The following is an 18,858-nucleotide window of genomic DNA, read 5'->3' as shown; positions in this document are numbered from 1 at the left end:
GTGGCAGACTTGCTGGCCAGAGCACCTACCTTTACTTGGGCATACCTGCCTTTAACTGGCTTCACCTGTGTGTGCTTGCCTTTACCTGGCTTCACCTGTGCACACCTGCCTGTGTGGTTCTGACCTCACGCCCTTGAGTGAGTCTCCTCCCCTCCTTGGACCTCAGCTTCCCACCTGTTAAATAACAGGGTTGCCTTGGGTTAGGCCACTCCCACTCGGGCTGTCTAAGAATCATTCTCTGAAGATGTGCTGGCCTCCAACTATTAATACATTAAGCCCCAAACCCAGGAGCTTCTCTGGGAGAAAGGGACTGCTGCTGAAGGCAGTGAGCATCTGGGTTAATCTAAGCCACAAAATATTTATAATGTTTTCCCCAGGACCAAAAAGGTGGCTATATCTCACATCCCTGATGGTATGGTGTCCCAGTTTCCAGTTCTCTATAAAACAGTTACTCTTCCCAGAAAGTCCTAGCGTGCTCAGGACCACACAGCGTGTACTCCACAGATGTGGCTGATGGTTTCATGGTTCAGGTTGGACAAGAAAAAAAGACAAGATGACCAGATGGAAAAGCTTACTCCTTTCTGCAAAACCTGGTGAATCCTGGAAGGCAGCTTCCAGAAACAAAACCGGAGGGTTCTGAAACCAGGAAGCCAGGAGGGTCATGTCTTCTTTTCCTAAACTGAACCTAAAACAAGGCACTTGGTGGTGTGTGTGGCTATGGGCCCCCCAGAAATTAGAATGCCAAAAGAGGTCCTACTTCAAATGAGCGGCGGGGGGTAGGTGTTCCCCTCAACCTGAGATGCCCGCTCAGAGCGTTAAGATGTGAATAAAGGCACTGTGGCAGCATTATCTGACCCTGAACCTTTTCATAAGAGCCTTTTTTTTTGGCTGTCAATACTTTTAGTTGACACATAATTGTACGTATTTATGGGTCCAGTGTGAGATGTTGATACACGTATGCAATGTGTAATGATCAAATTAGGGAAATTAGTGTATCCATCACCTGTAACCTTGATTTTCTTTGTTTTGGGATCATAAGAGATTTTTACAGACTTGAAGGATGTTGCTTCATCGGAGCACAAGGCTGAACTGGATATCTCTAAACAGACACAAAGAAACTGGGGCGTAAGCAGGATGCTGTCCTTAAAATGCCGAATGTCGGGGCTCTCACACAGCGCTCTTGTTGGCTAACAGATCAGAAAGACTGGAGGGGGATGGCCCAAGGGGTGTCCACTTGGGTGGAAGGCTGGCAGAGGCCTGCGTCCCTAGGGAAGTATTTCTTGGAGATAGCATAATGGCATCGGTCTTAAACCTTGCATGGAGATAGCCGAAAAATGTTCACAATTGAACTGTGACCAGCTGCCTGGTCTATCTGCAGCAGTGGTTCTAGAAACCTAGGAAGGGGTGTTCCAGGGGTGGGAATCTGGTGAGAGGAGGGAAATATCCTGAGGATAGGTCTTTGAGCTGGGTTTGCAGGGTAAATACACCACTTTATTCAGATGACTTGCCTTCTTTGGTGGGGAGGGTACTGATGGACTGTTATGGAAAGGTAGAGCCCCCACCCCCACTCCCTGCAACCCAGGTCTTGCATCTGCCACCGGCCAACCCAAAGAACATCCGATTGTCCTGCTCACACCTCTCCCAGGCACCCCAGCTTCCATGCCAAACAAAGGATGCCTGCAGGATCCTGTCAGGGCGTCCTTCTTCCTGTTTTGGGGATTATTATTTTTTGATTGATTGACTCCTTTATTCATTCAACAAATATTTTATCAAGTGTATGCTTAAGGAAGCAGCGACGAGAAAGACATTTACATAAGGCAGCTGCCCTCAAGGAGTTACAATATTTATTCCATGTGTGTCCTGAAATATTCAGGCCCCAAACACAACTTTTTTTTTTTTAACCTAAGTGCTTTTAAAGACTTCTTTGAAATGTGGGACAATTATGCAAGCTGAAAAAAAAAAGTATCTAGAGCAAATATTTAACTTTGCCTTTGGTATGTTGAAGTCACCAGCCCATGCAAACCTCTCAGGCATGTCCTGTAAGATAGACTGACTTACACACACACACACACACACACTCACTCTATGTAGGGGGCACAGTTAGGGGTTTGCATAATGCCGGGCTCCAGGGTTCTGGAGACAGTTCTACTCCACAGCTTGGACTCTGATCCCCACCCACACCTTCCAGAATACTGGAAAACTCAGAACACAGAGACCTCAAGAGCTTACTCAGAAACACGCAGCTCGTACTGGGGGAGACTCCCAGTGAATGATTAAGGCCTTGAGAAAATCTATCAGCCGATGGCTCACACGGCGGCCACAGCTCCAAGCTCAGGACCCGCCCCTTTGGGCTTCCGCAAACCTAGCAATCCGGAGTCCTGGATAATAACAGGATTCCTGGAGTCTCCGGAGGGTGCCTTTGGCCTCTGGGATTCACCCGAGCCGTTGGCTTTTGCTCCCCCCACCCCACCCCCTGGCTTTTCTTGGCTTGGAGGGCAGCTGGCGGAGATACCGTTGTGCACCCCTGGGCGGAAGGCGCCCCAGAACTGGTGGCCTGGGCAGCAGACGCCGGCGTATCACCCGGGTACAAAGTTTTCGTTTGCTCTGCAAACGTTTTGATGTGCAGGCAGCCTCTATTTCCAAATCCTATTATTATAAATACTCTGTGGCGGGAGCCAGCTGCGTTCGGGATAACCGTGCAGACCGAACCGGACTTTACAAAAATCAGGGACTTTCTCGTCCGCCGGCTTTGGCCAGGGAGGGGGAGGTCCGTGAGCCACGCAGCCCGGGGCGGGGCAGAGGCGGCCAGGGCGCCCCGCGGTCTCCCGGGGTTGCCACAACAGACCCCACGCGCACGCCCGAGCCGCAGCCGCGGGCGGGAGCGGGGTCGGGGCGGGGGACTGAGGTCCGCGGCGTGGGCGGGGGTGGGGGTCCAGGTCGGGTCGCCCGCGGGTCCTGGGCCGCACGCGTCCTTTCGGCGGCGAGAGGGCCCCTCCCCCACCCTCGCCGGAGCCAGCTCCCGCGCCGGGCGGGGCCGGGTCCTTCCCCACCCCCTGCACCTGAGCCGCGGCGGCGGCTCCTGAGCTCCGGCGGGGCTGGGCGCGGCGCCGCTCGGGTTCCCGCGGCCGATCCAGGTGTGCGCGGACGCTGGCGCTCCCGGGGGGCTCGGACCCGCCCCCGACTCGCCGAGCCAGGTGAGGCGGCGGCCGGGGACGCAGGGCGCGGGCCGGGGAGGACGGGAGGTGGCCCTTGGGCACCCGATCCTGCTCACTGACGGCATTTTGGGGGCATCTCGATTCCGGGAGCACCAACTACCGGGTAAGCGCAGTCCTGGACCCAGAGAGGCTGGAGAGGTGGGCGCTGGGGGGAGTGAGCCGCGTGTCCAGGTGGGGGTCGATTTTCCGTAGAGAGCCCTTCCCCCTGCATGCCTTTCTTCCCGGGCAGGGGCCGGTGTCGAAAGCTTTGGAAGCGGCGTGGGGGCAGAGCGCAGGAAGGAGCCCCCGCTTTATCTCCTGCGCGCATGGACCACGTAGTCTCTGGCGCGTCCTGCCCCTTCCTCTGGAACAGCGCGTGTGGCGCGACCTCCCCCGCTCTCCCGGGGTCTCCTTGCCCCGGGTCACCGCCCGCCAGCCCTAGGACCCGGGCCAGCGAGCCCAGCGGAGGAGCCGGCGCGGGGCCGCCAGGTGGCGCGCGGGGGCGGAGACCCGAACCGTGGCCGCCAGGTCCCCCGAGACCCCGCTGCGGTCACCCTGGCCCTGCACGCAGAGCTCCCATCCAGGCGCGCGCGGCGGCAGCAGCAGCTGTCGCGGAGAGGCCGGGGCCGGCGCGCCTGGTGCGGGCCCGGGGGTGGCGGGTCGGGCGCCCAGGTCCCGGGGGTCGCGCTGAGCCACAGCCGGGTGCCCGACCCCGGCCCGCCGTGCTCACCAGCTGGGATAGGGAGACCCGGCGGGCGCAGCCCGGCCGCCACCGTCCGTGAATTATGCAGGAAGCTGGCACCGGCGCGCTCGAGTTGATCAAGTTTCCCTGGCAACTTTCGCCCGGGCATCCCTCCTCCCCGGCGGCCGGGCAGCTCCGCCCGCCCAGCCCGCGGCCCAGGCGCCTCCACCGGGTGGCCCCGGCCCCGGGCGCCAGGCGCGGGGACCGCTCCCAGAGACGCCGACAGCGCACTCGTCACTTGGGCTGGAGCCGCCGGACTGAGCCAGCAGGTGCGACCACCGCAGCGGGCCTCGCCGCCCGGGTTCGGGGGGATGCGGGGGCTGGGGTGGACCTCGCCGCCAGGGTTCTGGGGCTTGGCGTGGGGGTGCAGCGCGGCGCCCTCCAGGCGGGTCTGCGTGCGGACACCCTGCTCGAGGTGGGTGGGCGCGTGGGCGAGGCTTGCCTTTCCGTGGGGCTGGAGCACCCAGAGGGAGAAAGGGTGGTGCAGGTGACCGTGGGTTTTCGCAGCCGATCTTTTAAAGGGGCTCGGGGCGCCTGGAACTGAGAAGGCGCTCGAGCCAGGCAGGTGAGGGGTGGGTGGTGGGGGGGTCAGGCGAAAGTACGTAAGGCTCTCGGGGGCTGGCAGCTGCTGGCAGGGGCCTGGGCGTCCTCAGAGGCCATCCGAAAATAAAGTGGTTTTCGGGTGGAAATTCGAGGTTGTAAATTGGATAGTTGAGTGACCTCTTTTTCGTTTGAAACTCAAGTTCGAACGTTAATGAGGCCAATCAGCTAATTAAGCTTCCAGATCCAGAGAGGTAATTTCGGAAGTCCCCCGGTGGGGGAGGGCGATTTGATCTCTATCTGGGATGTGGGCCTCGGTTTTGCCGACCCAGCCACAAGGGAAGTTCTGCGCCCCTGGAAAAGGACCTGGCAGATTCAGCCTTAACCCCGGTGCCCTGCGGTCCGCATCACATAGTTAGTGACGCCCTTCTGTGCACTAGGAACCGAGCCTGGTGCCCCAGAGGGTTCAGCAGGTCCAGAACAGCCCCGGGCCGATTGCTTTTGGAGTTTTCCAACTACTTGTGGGTTGGAAACAAGGTTGAGGGTCCTAATAGGGTTGAGCCTGTGGGGGTGGAGTGAGGAGAGCGAGCTCGGCCCCCATCTGGGTTCAGTGTTAATTCTGAGGGAAAGCCGTCGTGTCTGCTCTAAGAGGGGGATTGGTAGGTGGGAGCTGTGGGTTTCTATGCCGGATGTCACTGTCCTCTGAGGGGGCTTGAGGGAGACTCTTGTCCTGATAGGAATCTGGGTGTCCCAGTAGTGCCTGAATGATTCAGCTCCTGGGAAGCACTGTCTATATAAGGCCTCTGATTCCATTATTACACCCAGGAATTCCTTGTTTTCCTGGAAGGAAGAATTGGGTGGAAAGCTTGGTGCTTCTTTGGGTCCCTTTGGAAGGAGGTTGGAATTCAAGTATCAAAGGTAACTCTTTACAAGTAGGTGATTTCACCTATAAAGATGATCCCAGAGGGCTCGGTTGACAGCACTTGGCTGCTTTTAACAAATTAGATTCCCCCCCACCCCCGGGGAGGGGGGCGGTCTGTTGGGGGGATCTTTCTGTGTACTGTCTCCAAGTACAGTCTGCTATAGAAAACCGTATTCCTATTTGGGTGAGTTTCAAGATTTTCATTCATTCATTTCTTCATTCAGGTGCTTAGGGTTGTATGCAGGGCCATGCTGGCTTCTAGGGGTCTTGGTCTAGGCCTGGGCTTGGGGAGCCAGGTGATATCAGATGTGAGTGCTGCCCAGAGGAAGGTAAAGGGATTCTGAGACCGCATTGCATTTTATATTTCATTAGTGACGAGGAAAAGGATGGGAGAGAAAAACGGGCCGGGAATTAACCAGTATACAGAAACACACTCCTAAAAATGGCTCTTTATAGGAAGGCAGTGCTTTAGCATACTTGCCTTACTTCCAAATACGTAACAGAGTTGCAGACGAGAGAGTTCTGGGATCCCCGTCAGTCCCGATGAGGACTTTTCTAAAGTGGGGCTCAGCTTGGGAGTTGCTGCAGGGCCTGAGGTTGTGCCTCCTACTCTGAAAGAGTTCTGGGCCTGGACACCTGAGGTCTTACCTGCCTGCAATTCCAGCCTCCTGCTTTGTAAACTCAAGCCGGAGCTTTCACCTGGGGCTGTTGTACCTGGAGTCTGAGGGCCCCTCCTTGGGGCAGCAGGGAGGGTGTGGCTGAGAAAAACCAGTGGAAATGGACGCGCACAGCCTCTTCAGGAGCCTCCACTTCTCCTGTAACTGGGACTGTGAGCCCCAGGGAGGGACCCTTGAGAATCTTCTTGCCTCCACATGACCTCCAGCAAAGTTCTTGACCCTGTCCGTTTCTATAGACTGGGGAATTTGTGGAAGAAAGGGAAGGAGAGGGGAGAAGGGAGGATCGCTCCAGACAAAGGCGGGTCTTTTCCATCTCTGGAGTCCCCCACCCCTTGCCATTCACCTGGGCACCGGGAGAATGAATCACTTGTTGAGAGGCTGTAAGCATATTGAGTGCAGGGCTTGGAGCCTGCAGCCCCCCAGGGCTAAGTGACCTTTGTGACTTGGCCACTGCACCTAACCTCCCACCCAAAATGAGAGGCCTGTCATTCTCTCATGGTCAGAGGATATCTAGGGTGTATTTGTTTCTTTCCGCGTGAATAATCATCTGAGGGCCTGCTGCCACATCCAAGCCTGGACTGGCCACAAGGGCTGCCTCCGGGAGCTTCTAGGATAATGGGGAGGAAGAGGCGTGACTGGACAGTCCAGTTAGTCCGTGTTGTGACAGGGCTTGTGATGGAGGTGAGCATCGAGTGCTGCAGGGCATAGAAAGGGTCCCCAACCCAGCGTGGGGTGGGGTGGGGGGATACAAACCCTTGGAAGAGGTCTGGGTTGTTTGATTGCATCCTCCTGGGACTGAACATGGGCCTTTGGCAGAATGACCCAGTCCTTGTTCCCAGGGTGGGGACAGAGCCACCCGCTAGTCACAATAATAACGTCAGGAGCTGCAGCGCAGGTAGTGAGACTCTCACCGAGCATTTTCCTTTTGATTGGCATTAGTGCCACACTCTTGCTATTTATTCCCTCAGTAAATCTCAGAAGTCCAATGAGCCAGCTCCGATTCATTACGATTCCCATTTCACAGATCAGAAGCTTGAAGCTCAGAGGAGTGAAGCCGCTTGCCTTAGCCCACACAGCTAGTGGGTAGGGGAGCCCTTGACCCCACACCGCCCGGTGGTTAAATGCACGCTGCCCAGCTGGAGAAAGCCGCCAGGCAGCGGTTAGAAAATTAGTCTTCTGGTTCCCGTGCTGTGAAATCGCGCTGCGGTCAGCAGGTGAAAACCAGTTTCTCATCATACTTCTTGATGTGCCCCACGTTTTCCATTGTTGAAGGCAGATTCAAGGACTGGTTTGATGCCGCTGATGGACGGCTGTCTCCTTGGCCATGGCGCCAGTACTGATGCTGGGCTTTGGGGTACAGTCGCCTCTGATGCAAGCCTTCCCTGCATTCTAGGGTTTCTGTTCTTTGCAGGGCGGGGGACAATGGGCCCATGCCCACTACCCAGAGCCTGCCCTGGGTTTAGGGACCATAGCCTGGGTCTCTCTGGATGCACATATGCCGGGGATGGGCCTTCAGGGAGGGACTGGCTGAAACGCAGCTCGCTCCCTGGGAGATTAAGTTCTTAAAAGCCTGTGGGGCTGCCAGGAGTTTGCTGGCAGCAGCAGGGACATGCTGGGCTCCCCGATTGGCTGCCAGATGTCATTGCCAAACCCGGCACTGCACCAGAGCACGACTGGGGACAGTGTTTTAAAATTGTCCTTGCTGGGTATGGTAGCGACTCTGGGGTTAGCTCAGTGAGGGGCGTGTGAATGGAATTAGGCCACAAACTCCCAATCTGAGGCTGCAGATTCCAAATGGTGGAATGCAGAAGGGCTCCTGGCTCCCCGTCCCAGAAATTCTGCTGCAGCAGAAAGGCAGCACGGGAGCTCCCCCAGAGGGAGAGGAAGATCAGCTGGAGCAGCCCTGAGTTGCTGGACTTAGAAAGGCCTCACCAGAGACCCCCCAGGAGGCGTGCATTAGAGGTCATAAGCACTGCAGCTCTGCCATGGCCCTGCTGGGCTGGGGCCTGCCTCTTCCATTTTTTTTTTTTTGTCTGTCCCTGAAAGTGTTGTTTTTTTTAAAAAAAACAGCTTGTTCTCTCATACATTTTCTGCAACAATTTTTTATGAAAAATTCAAATATCCAGCAAAGCTGAAACAATTGCCAGTAAACTCCTTTCAGATTGTGCCATTCATCATTTACCAAGCTTCTCACACATTTTAAAGTCAACGTCTAAAATTTTTCTTTATAGGTTTAAATATTTGTAAAGGCTACGGTACCTCTGTGAGGTAAATATCGATATTTTAAAAGGAACTGTTGCCTGACTCTTTACCCACTGTGATATAAACCCATCGTGACTCACAGCCACTTTTTCTTGACGGATACGTAAGTGAGCTTTAGGACATTTTCATCGTTCTTTTCTTGAATTTATACAGCCACTTCCCCAAAGAATTTTATCCTAATGTAATAGACTTTTATGCTCATGGGTCTTTTATTAATCAACCTAGCATACTTCTCTGCACGAAAAATATACATAAATTGACTTTCATAAAATTTCCCATGACCTGGAGTTGCTAAGTATTTAAAAAAATTACTTCTGAATTGAAAAAGCTGTACAGTCATTGCTGGGGCGCAGTTGGTCAAAAACTATAAATATATTACAGATTTTTAGAAATGGAAAAGGGGAGCTGTTACTGGAGCTGCCTCTCTGAGTGAGAAGGCAGTGGGTGTTTTTGGTGTTTTAATTGAAGCCCTAGTTGCATTAGCCCTTTTGTTTTGGTATCAGGAGGGCCCTTCACCTGGAGCTGCACCACCCCCTCACCAGCTTCCGGGGGATAGCTATGCCTTTCTTATGTAAAAGAGCCTCAGGGATGTTAGGGAGGGGAGGTGGGCAGGGGATCCAAGGCCTTTCTCCACTGAGCAATTTCAGGAAAGACTTGGCTACCCTTTAGACTGAGCTGGGTCTACGTGGAAAGGGTCCTTGCACCTCAGTTTGAAGCCCCCTGCAAGGGAGATCTTAGTTCACAAGATTACACCTGTACTCAAGGTCCTGCAGGTGATTCTTACCTGGGGACAGTGATGATACTTACGTGAAGGCAGTGACATGTGATGCCAGGTGTGTGCTCTGCATACTGCCAGGCTTTGCTGCCTCCCTGCAGACTTGGGGGTGTCCTGCCCCACGTCTTCCTCACTCCGGCTCATCAGTCCCCTCCTCTTCTCAAGGAGAATCCAGAGTCAGCACCTAGAGTCCTCGGTGGGGGTGGGGAATGGCCAAGAGTCTGGACAGCTGGCAGTCTGCTCCCTGGTCCACTGGGGTGGGTCCTGGGAGGCTTAGGGCCCAAGGAATGGGGTGCAGGGCATCCTGGGTTTCCAGACCTGGAGCTGACACAGACTTCCGGGCTCCTGGGAGGTGGGAAATGAGCTTCCAAGCCTGTCTTTCCTGAAAATCCTGCCCTGGATTCCTTCCCTGGGGAGAATGCAGGCTTCCTGGGGAGTGGAGGGGGATGCTTCTGTGGCCTCATTTGTACCCCTGAGAGCATAGGGCTCAGCCGTTCCTGTCCATGTTTTTCCTGCCACCCCGCACAAATGTCCCTGGGATTTGAAGAATCTGCTCCACTCCCCTCTTCCCGTACAGGGGCCTGCAAACTAGAGGCATTTGCCCCTGGGCCAGCCGGGCTCCTGTCTGACCCCTCCTCACGAGGTGGACAGGTCCCCCAGGAAAGGGACCACGCCTTGCTCCTGTCTGCATTTCAAGGTCCTACAGTGGCCCCAAGCATGGACCAGGGGACTTTGGCAGGGGAAGATACTGACCCGATGGCGTCGCTACTGCCCCTCGTCTTGGTTCTGGACTTTCCCTCCCTCGAGGGTCATTCAGCTCCAGTGGCTGAACTTGCCGAAGGTCGTGTGGCCCAGCTGGGATCCACACCTGGCGGCTGCCCACTCCACCGTGCAGAAGAAGGCACCGGTCGCTTCCCCGGCCTCCAGATTGCCTCCTGGGTGGCACACCAGTTTATTTTTCTGTTCACTTTCAGGTAAAGCAGATGAGGTAGCACAGTGGTTGTCAGACTTCTAGCTTAAGGAATCTTTTTTGCTCTCTTAGCATTTTGAAGGACCCAGAAGCTTTTTATGTATGAGCACGAATCTATTGTTATTTACGCTATTAGAATTTACAAATATCTAATTATTAATGCATTTAAAAATAGTAATAAACTCATGACATGTTGGTATAAATAATGTGTTTTTATGGATAACAACTATTTTCAAAATAAGAAAAACACTTGGTGAGGCCGGTCGAGGTGGCTCAGGCCTGTAATCCCAGCACTTTGGGAGGCTGAGGCAGGAGGATTGCTTGAGGCCAGGAATTTGAGACCAGCCTAGGCAATATAATGAGACCCCATCTCTACAAAAAATAAAAAATTAGCCAGGTGTAGTGGCACGCACCTGTGGTCCCAGCTACTCAGGAAGCTGAGGTGGGAGGATTACCTGAGCCTGAGAGGTCGATGTTGCAGTGAGCCGTGATCACGCCACTGTACTCTAGCCTGGGTGACAGAGTGAGGAAAAAAAATAGTGCAGTGGCTCACACCTGTAACCCCAGCACTTTGGGAGGCCGAGACGGGTGGATCACTTGAGGTCAGGAGTTCGAGACCAGCCTGGCCAAAATGGTGAAACCCCATCTCCACTAAAAATACAAAAATTAGCCAGGCACAGTGGGGCACACTTGTAGTCCCAGCTACTCAGAAGGCTAAGGCACAAGAGATCACTTGAACCCGGCAGGCGGAGGTTGCAGTGAGCCAAGATTGCCCCACTGCACTCTAGCCTGGGCAACAGAGTGACAGTCCATCTCAACAACAACAAAAAAACACTTGGTGAGAAGAGTGGCATTGTTTAACATTTTTGTGGTCTTTTTGCTGTGAGGTTTAATGGAAGACAGCTGGGTTCCCGTATCTGCTCCTGCAGTCAGCTTGTTGCAATATCACAAGTTTTGTAGCTTCCGTTGTGCACTTGGGAGAGGATGAGCTTGAAAAAGCAGCTCCCATCTCAGTGTTATGATGAGAATGGTTTGACTTCATAGATCTCTCGAATAGGCTGGTTCCCGGGGCTGCACGCTGAGAGCCTCTGGGAGGAGCGTGTGATCCGCCTTGTCAGTGCATGGGTCCCGTTTGAAAGCTGGCTGTGCCATGTGGTCCAAAGGGTGCTTTGAATGATGCATGTACCTTTTCTTGTCGTTCAGGATATGTCTGTGGAGTTTAGTCAGGGGCTTCAGACAGCCACCAGCTGGTTCCGACCCCAGGGGCAGGCCCTCTGATTGTGGGGTCTAGGATGGTGGGAGCATGCAGAGGCACCTTCCAGGCTGTGGGGTCAAGGAGGCTGGCAGAGCCTAAGGCAGTTTAGGAGACTCTGAGAGAGCAGCCTGGCCAATTTATAGAGTGAGGCAGGCTTGCAAGTGTAGACAGGAGAGTGGAGAGGACTTTGTAGGTGTCTGGCTGCCCAAGGAAGCCTATAGTTTTCTTTTGAAGTCTGGTTTTGGTATCAGAGTAATACTGGCCTCATAAGATGACTTGGGAAGCATTGTCTTCCATTTTTTTCTGAAAAGTTTATGCAAAATTGGCCTTCATTCTTCTTTAAATGTTTGGTAGAATTCACCAATAAAGCCATCTGGGCCTAGGCTTTTCTTTGTGAAAACTTTTAAAATTATTGATTGGATCTCTGCTTGTCATAGGTCTTTTTAGATTTTCTGTTTCTTCTTGAGTCAAGTTTGTTAGTTTGTGTCCCACCAGAAATGTGTCCACTTCATGTGAGTTTCTCTAATGTGGTTGCTATGTAGTTGTTTGTAGCACCGTCTCATTATTATTATTGTTATTATTTTTTTGAGACAGAGTCTTGCTCTGTTGCCTAGGCTGGAGTGCAGTGGCGTGATCTCAGCTCACTGCAAGCTCCGCCTCCCGGGCTTACACCATTCTCTTGACTCAGCCTCCCGAGTAGCTGGCACTACAGGCGCCCACCACCAGGCCCAACTAATTTTTTTGTATTTTTAGTAGAGACGGGGTTTCACCGTGCTAGCCAGGATGGTCTTGATCTCCTGACCTCGTGATCCGCCCGCCTCAGCCTCCCAAAGTTCTGGGATTACAGGCATCAGCCACCACGCCCGGCCTGACTCCTTTTAATTCTGTAAGTTGGTAATAATGTCCCTTCTTTCATTCCTGAGTTTGGTAATTTGAGTCTTCCCTTCTTTTCTTGATCATTTCAGCTCAGGTTTGTAAATTTCGTTGATCTTTTCAAATAACCAACTTGTAGTTTCATTGATTTTCTTTATTGCTTTTCTAGCTTAGATTTCATTAACTTCAGCCCTAACCTTTATTATTTCCTTCCTTCTGCTAGCTCAGTTTCAGTTTCCCGTTCTTTTTCTGACTCTCACAAGGTGGAAGGTTTTGGTTATTGATTTGAGATTTTTCTTCTTTTTAACATAGACATTTACAGATCTGAATTTCCTTTAAGTACTGCTTTAGTTGTATTCCATAAGTTTTGATGTGTTTTGTCTTCTTTTTCACTCGTTTCAAAGTGTTTTCCAATTTCCCCGTGGTTTATTCTCTGACCCATTGGCTATTTAGATGTCTGTTTAATTTCCACATATTTGTGCATTTGTAAAATAAATTTCGAATTTCATTCTATTGTGGTTGGAGAACATTATTTGTATAATTTCAGTCCTGCTGATGTTTAATGAGGCTGTTTTATAGCCGGGCATGAGGCCTCTCCTGGAGAATGTTCCACGTGCCCTTGAGAAGAATGAGTATTCTGCCGTCTTTTGTGGCATGTGCTGCAGGTGTCTGCTAGGCTGCTCTAGACTCTGGGATACAACAGTGAACCAGACAGACAAATATTTCTGCCCTTGTAGGGTCGACATCCTCGCCAGGGGAGCAAACAATAATTAAAGGAGATCATAAATAAGCAGTGATGTAGTGTGGGAGGAAAGGAGAGCTTGCTGGTGGGGGCTGGGAGCCAGGGGGGCTGCTGTTTTAGCAGGATGGTCGGGGTGAGCTGCATTGAGGTAGCGGTCCTTGAGCAAACACTTAAAGGAGGTAAAGGAAGCGGTGTGTGATACAGGAAGAGTTCAGTGGAAATTGAGAGCACTTTTTTTCCCAATGCACATTTTATAAATTGTGCAAAATACCTATAACATAAAAAGTTACCCTTTTCACCATTTTTAGGTGTGTAGTTCTGAGGCATTAAGGATGCTCATCGTGCTCTGCAGCCATCGTCACCATGTATCTGTAGAACTCTTCAGCTTGCAGAACTGAAACTACGTCCCCACTAAACACTAGCAAACCAGCCCCCTTCTCCCAGCCCCTGGCGACCACCAGTCTGTTTTCTGTCTCTTTGACTTCTGTAGGGACCTCATCCAAGTGGAATCATGCAGTGTTTGTCTTTTTGAGTCTGGCTTAATTCACTCAGCATAATGTTCTCAAGCCTCATCCATGTTGTAGCGTGTGTCAGAATTTCCTTCCTTTTTGTGGCTGAGTAATATTCCATTGTGTGGATGGGCCACATTTTGTTTATACATTCATCCATCCTTGAGGACCTGGGTGGCTTCACCCTCTGGCTGTTGTGAATAATGCTACTGCGAACATGGTTGTGCAAGTATCTTGAGTCCTTGCTTTTAGAAAACACCTTCAAAAGCAGCGTCCAGCCCCAGGCCCGTCTGGTCTTGAGATACTAAAGCTGAGATCTTTTACCCACTCGCTCCAGCCTAGGCTGCTTTCTCACAGAAGGAGGCCCCACCTTTCTTCATGGGTCTCAGGAGAAAGTAGGGGTGACCCTGAGTGTGGGAGAAATTGTGGGACATGACTCCTTCCCATGTCTGGTGTCTTCCAGTGAGGCAAGGTGCTGCTCCCTGGGAACCTGGTGGGGGTGTCTCATCTTTGTGGGTTCAGCCCCAGCCTAGAGCTGGATCCCAAGAAAAACAGGGACCAGAGACAGTAGCAGGGGGGAGAGTGTCTCCTGCAAAATGTAGCTGATTAACTGATTAGATGCTTTCCGGTTGCCTCATGATCTTAAACGCAGGCTGATTGTGCAATGGGTCATTTGCTGATCTCATATGCAGTTGCTGGCGAAGGTACGTGTTTGTTTGTCCCATGGGGCCTTGGGTCGCCTGTGTGGGGCAGGGGAAGCGGGGCTTCCGGGCACTTCCCGCTCGCTGGAAGCTTTGCCTTGATGTTTCCTTAATAGTCACTTAAAAAAATCCACCCTGAGTTGATCATGTAGCTCAGTTTATACATTCTATGGAATGGTTAACCGCATTTTATTCTTTCTCTTCCTGTTGACATTTGGGTTGTTTTCAGGATCTTGTTCTTTCAGACTGTGCTGCAGGGAACATTCTTCTATGCAGGGCTGGCGGGGCTTCCCCGGGTACCTCCTTAGAGGAGAAGTTGCCTAGCCCGGGGCTTTCACCGTGCACAGAGCTAGCTTTCACCAGTGTTCTCAAATTGCTTTCCCAGGGGTTGTACCAAGTTACAATCCCACCCACATGGTGTGAGAACTCCCTGGGCCCCTCCTCCTCAGCAAGACTTGGTATTTCCTGATATTTACCAGTCTAATGCGTGGGAAATGGTGTCTCCTTTTAACTTGCATTTTCTCTGATTCATAGAAAGCTGCTCCCAGTTCCGGTTCATCGACCACTCAGCTTTCCATTTTCTGAATGGACCTCCGTGGCTCAAGCAATCCTCTCACCTCAGCCTCCCAAGGAGTTGGGACCACAGACACACAGACTACAGGTGCACACCACCACACCTGGCTAATTGTTTTTTTAGAGGGGTCTCCCTGTGTTGCCCAGGCTGGCCTCAAACTCCTGAGCTCAAGCGATCCTCCCACCTCAGCCTCCCAAAGTGTTGGTATTTACAGGCATGAGCCCCCATGCCCAGCCCATTTTATTTTTTTGATGTGTCTCCTAGGAAATTTAAAATTACATTTGTGACTCCAATTATATTGCTATGGGGCAGCCTGGATTTGTAACCTTCATTCTCTAGGGGCTGGGGTCTGCCCCTTCTTGCTTGGCCCCCTGGCCTGCAGTGTCCCCGCCTCCACCGCCACCTTCTCACCCTTGAAGGGAGCCCCCTTCCTGCTGATGTGCTTCCTTTGAGTTAGCAGCAAAGACTCTGTTTGGAGGAACAGGAGAGGGGCTAGGGAGAGAAGATGGACTAGGACAGCTTGTCACGGCTTGTCACTCAGAGAGACCCGAGTGTGGGCAGGACCCCAGAGCTCATTGAGAATTAATCAGGGTTCTGCACTGCTGGCTCTGGAAAGTCCAGGTCCAAACCTCTTGGAGAACAATGGACCTCGGGAGAAGATACACCGTGTCTGGGTCCCGCAGCGGGTTTTCAGCAGGTTTTATGCTGGATCCGAGAATCCCTATCCTGACAAGCCTCCAAGTACCCCGTGGCAGGCTCTTTGTAGACCAAGCCTGGTTAAATAGCTTCTGGAGTTCATTCTCCCGAAGAACGAGGTTCTTACCAGAAGCAGTCTAGAATTAGTATCATATTACTATTGAACATTCATGGAGACCCTTGGATATTCAGACGGCTTTCTGGCCACTGCCTGGTGTTTGCCCAGCTCCCGGGGATGTGTGGTTGCCTGAGACACCTGGCAGACGCCCTGCGAGACGTAGCCTGTGCCTGGTGGGCTTAGTGGCCTGGGGTGGGTTGGGTGATTTTCTGAACGAAAGGAAATGCCTCTGAGGTCACAGACCATCCAGCCAGCTGCAGGACACTCCACATGTAGAGGCAAAAATGACTTCTTGGCCAGGTATGGTGGCTCATGCCTGTAGTCCCAGCACCCTGGGAGGCCGATGTGGGTAGGTGGCTTGCTTAAGAGCAGTTTGAGACCAGCCTGGGCAATACAGCAAAACCCTGTCTCTAGAAAACAAGACAAAACAAAAAACAAGTATTAGCTGGGCATGGTGGTGTGTGCCTGTAGTCCCAGCTTCTCGGGAGGCTGATGTGGAAGGATCACCTGAGCCTGGAAAGGTCGAGGCTGCTGTGAGCTGAGATGGTGCCAATGCACTCCAGCCTGGGCAGCATAGTGAGGCCCTGTCTCAAAAAAAAAAATTTTTTTACCATTAACAGTGCAGTAATAACATAGAGTGACCTGTATCTTTGTAGGTAGCTTAGTCAGTCATCATCATTATCATTATTAACGTATTATCTGCAGACATTGTTGGAGGACATTTCAGTACCTGCTGTGAGCCAGGAGCTTTGTGCATATGGTCTCATGGAATCACCAGTTGCTCTCTGGGAGTATTTTAATGCCCATTTCACCGAAGGGGAAACTGAGCTCCAGAGAGGTGCATTGGCTGGGGCTTTGAGCCCATGTAGCATGTTGCGTGTTACAACCAGTAGAACAGAAAGGGATGGGAGCATTTAATCTCCTTCACTCCAGTGAGTCCTCCCTCTTGGCCTGCCTGGCGGCCCCTCCCGGTCATCTGTTGACAGCCAGTCCTTGCTCAAGACCCCTGAGCATTTGTGAACAAAATGCTTGTGAAACCGTGAGTTGGGTTCCCCGGGTCCCCTTATTTCTTTCTCTATACTTTGTCTCTGTGTCTTTTTCTTTTCCAAATCTCTCGTCCCACCTTACGAGAAACACCCACAGGTGTGTAGGGGCAACCCACCCCTACATCTTCCCATGAATGAAGTCTGTCCCTGTGACTGTGTGTCTGGACAGCTCCTCTTCTGGGGAGAGTCCTCTGTGGCAGGTGCAGTCAGCATAGGGACAGAGAGGACACAGAGGGCCCCAGCTCTTCAACGCTTCTGCTGATTGACTCGAGCAAGCTCTGGCCACAGACAGTGCATTTGCCCAGCAGAGTTGAGTGTCACTGTGTTTCAGCACACTGTTCTCTAGGCTGTGGTGATGGGTGATCTGCCTGGAGAATTTGGGCCACAGAGGGAGCATAGCACTGGCCAGGAGGGGCCTCTGGCCTCTCCGCTCTTACCTCGACATCTTTGGGCTTTGGGGAGTGTTGGGTTCATTTTCCTTGCTTCAGTAAGTGGTACGTTGCGGTGCAGAGCAGCTCTGCTGTGTTGCTGTGTGACCTTGGACAGGCCAGTTGGCCTCTCTGGGCCTTGGTTTTCTTATCCTTGAAATGAGGGTACTAACATATCTCAGGTAGCTGTGAGCATTAAATAAGGTAATTTATGTAAAGCTGAGACTATGGTAAGCATCCACGTACCGCCAACTGTTCTTACTGTCATTAGTGGTGATGTTTGCATTATCTGTGTTGGATTGTTGGGTCTATAAAGTGCCTGTCTTGTCAGGGCTGCCCACTGGCCTGTTGAGACCTCAGGTTTGCACACAGGTCCTGTTACAGGCAGAGCAGGGAATGCTGGGGTCTCCACCTGTTCTCTGCAGAGCCTCCCACGTGGGCATCATGAGTGCGTAGGGTTCAGGGATTCAGGATGATGGGGTGCCCAGCAGCAGCCTCCCAGCTCTTGCAAGGGACATCGGCAACATTGGGGGCCCCCTGAGTCCCACCCTCAGTCCGTGTGTGCATGTATGCAGGGCCTGGGGACAGAGGTGAGTCTGTGTGTCACAGGGAGAGCCCCTTGGGAGGGGGCCCCCTTATCCCATGGGAACTCCAGGTGGCTGGGCTGCTCTACCACACCCCAGCCTGGGTAGTGGTGTGTGTTCATCCTTTTCGGCCTTCGTGGCCCTCAGTGGCTTTTCCTAACATGGATGAACCTTTGTTCATCAGAAATCTCATCCTGCCGTCTTTTACCAAAGAGAGAGAGAGGAGGTGGGGAGCCTGGGAAGGGGAGATGGGGTAGGCTCTACAGCTAGTGATTCAGTTAGGGGCCCTCCTATAAAGCCTGCATTGTGGTGGGCTTGGGGCCTTTGGTGTTAGACAAACAGGATTAACTCCTGCTTTGCCGGAACCTCCCTGTAAGTGCCACGATGTGATCTGGGCAAGTGACTGGATCCTTCGCTGCAGCCCTCGGCTTTGTGATCTTTAGGTTGGAGATAACGACAGCTATCTAATAAGCCACTGTTAAGTTGAGGGTCGTGTTAGTTAACCTTTGCTGCATAACAGACCACCCCAGACAAAGGGTAAAACACCTGTTCATTTCAGGGCTGGATAGTAAATATGTCGTGCTTGCGTGCTGTGCAGTGTCTCTCCAAAACAGTGGTCAAAGGCAATACATGAGGGAATGGGCATGGCTGTGTTCCAATAAAAACTTTACTTATAAAAACAGGCTGGGGCTAGAATTGGCCCCTGGGCAGTCGCTTGCCAACCCTGATTTATTTAGCTCATGGTTCTGCAAGTTGCCCACTACAGCCGGGCTCAGTCCCTGGACTCAGTCCTTATTGCCCACTGGCTACTTGGTGGTTCTGGGCTCCCAAGGGCAGCAAGAGGGGGAGCTTCAGGATGCCATGGTCTGCAGTATTTGCTTGCATCACATTTGCTGCAGTCCCCTCGGGTTTATTGATGTGGCCAGAGCGAACGGTGACCATTTCCAGGGTCACTGTGGGAGAAGACTTCCCAAAATGCTAGATCCAGGAGGTATGACTGATTGGAGCCATTACTGTGACAGCCTCCCAGGCCCGCAGCGCAGTCCCACCTGCGCCAAGTCCCTCCCGGCCGCTGCCTGCAGTGTTGCCCTCTGGGCACAGAAAGACCTCATAGGTGCCACATTGGGTTTTGTTTATTTGTTTGTTTTGAGATGGAGTCTCACTGTGTCACCCAAGCTAAAGTAAGTTTGTTTTGAGACAAGAGTCTCGCTCTATCAACCAGGCTGGAGTAAAAATGTTGTGCTTATGTG

General features: G+C 52.4%; 1 protein-coding gene across 19 annotated transcripts in view, besides 5 other annotated features; it reads left to right on the top strand.

Annotated features, from left to right (window-relative positions):
- The window catches only part of SHANK2 (SH3 and multiple ankyrin repeat domains 2), a 785,381-nt gene continuing 768,907 nt past the window's right edge, over window positions 2,385-18,858 (top strand). For 9 of the 19 annotated variants that reach the window (NM_001441037.1, NM_001441034.1, NM_001441038.1 and 6 more), the window contains exon 1: window positions 3,042-3,194. The gene's annotated coding sequence lies outside the window, so the exon portion shown is untranslated. Of the gene's footprint in view, window positions 2,585-2,683; window positions 2,768-3,041; window positions 3,319-3,746; window positions 4,206-12,090; window positions 12,224-14,696; window positions 14,824-18,858 lie in introns of those variants that run through there. The other 10 variants (NM_001441036.1, NM_001441026.1, NM_001441031.1 and 7 more) reach the window with 8 other exon arrangements.
- Window positions 8,577-9,320: an enhancer, noted in NCBI's record as "OCT4-NANOG-H3K27ac-H3K4me1 hESC enhancer chr11:70957345-70958088 (GRCh37/hg19 assembly coordinates)". NCBI's record gives its function as "activates a minimal SCP1, AML or CMV promoter by ChIP-STARR-seq in primed H9 embryonic stem cells {active_cell/tissue: H9 hESC(primed)}" and the evidence as "EXISTENCE:reporter gene assay evidence [ECO:0000049][PMID:30033119]".
- Window positions 9,321-10,064: an enhancer, noted in NCBI's record as "NANOG-H3K27ac-H3K4me1 hESC enhancer chr11:70956601-70957344 (GRCh37/hg19 assembly coordinates)". NCBI's record gives its function as "activates a minimal SCP1, AML or CMV promoter by ChIP-STARR-seq in primed H9 embryonic stem cells {active_cell/tissue: H9 hESC(primed)}" and the evidence as "EXISTENCE:reporter gene assay evidence [ECO:0000049][PMID:30033119]".
- Window positions 10,065-10,808: an enhancer, noted in NCBI's record as "NANOG-H3K27ac-H3K4me1 hESC enhancer chr11:70955857-70956600 (GRCh37/hg19 assembly coordinates)". NCBI's record gives its function as "activates a minimal SCP1, AML or CMV promoter by ChIP-STARR-seq in primed H9 embryonic stem cells {active_cell/tissue: H9 hESC(primed)}" and the evidence as "EXISTENCE:reporter gene assay evidence [ECO:0000049][PMID:30033119]".
- Window positions 10,809-11,553: an enhancer, noted in NCBI's record as "H3K27ac-H3K4me1 hESC enhancer chr11:70955112-70955856 (GRCh37/hg19 assembly coordinates)". NCBI's record gives its function as "activates a minimal SCP1, AML or CMV promoter by ChIP-STARR-seq in naive H9 embryonic stem cells {active_cell/tissue: H9 hESC(naive)}" and the evidence as "EXISTENCE:reporter gene assay evidence [ECO:0000049][PMID:30033119]".
- Window positions 18,342-18,636: a silencer, noted in NCBI's record as "tiled region #1844; HepG2 Repressive non-DNase unmatched - State 15:Elon, and K562 Repressive non-DNase unmatched - State 22:ReprW". NCBI's record gives its function as "represses a minimal TATA promoter and a strong SV40 promoter by Sharpr-MPRA in HepG2 and K562 cells {active_cell/tissue: HepG2 | K562}" and the evidence as "EXISTENCE:reporter gene assay evidence [ECO:0000049][PMID:27701403]".

The sequence above is a fragment of the Homo sapiens genome, chromosome 11 (assembly GCF_000001405.40).
Source record: "Homo sapiens chromosome 11, GRCh38.p14 Primary Assembly".
Lineage (NCBI taxonomy): Eukaryota > Metazoa > Chordata > Mammalia > Primates > Hominidae > Homo > Homo sapiens.
Note: the sequence above shows the minus strand (reverse complement) of the source record. Positions and strands in the feature narration are given on the sequence as shown.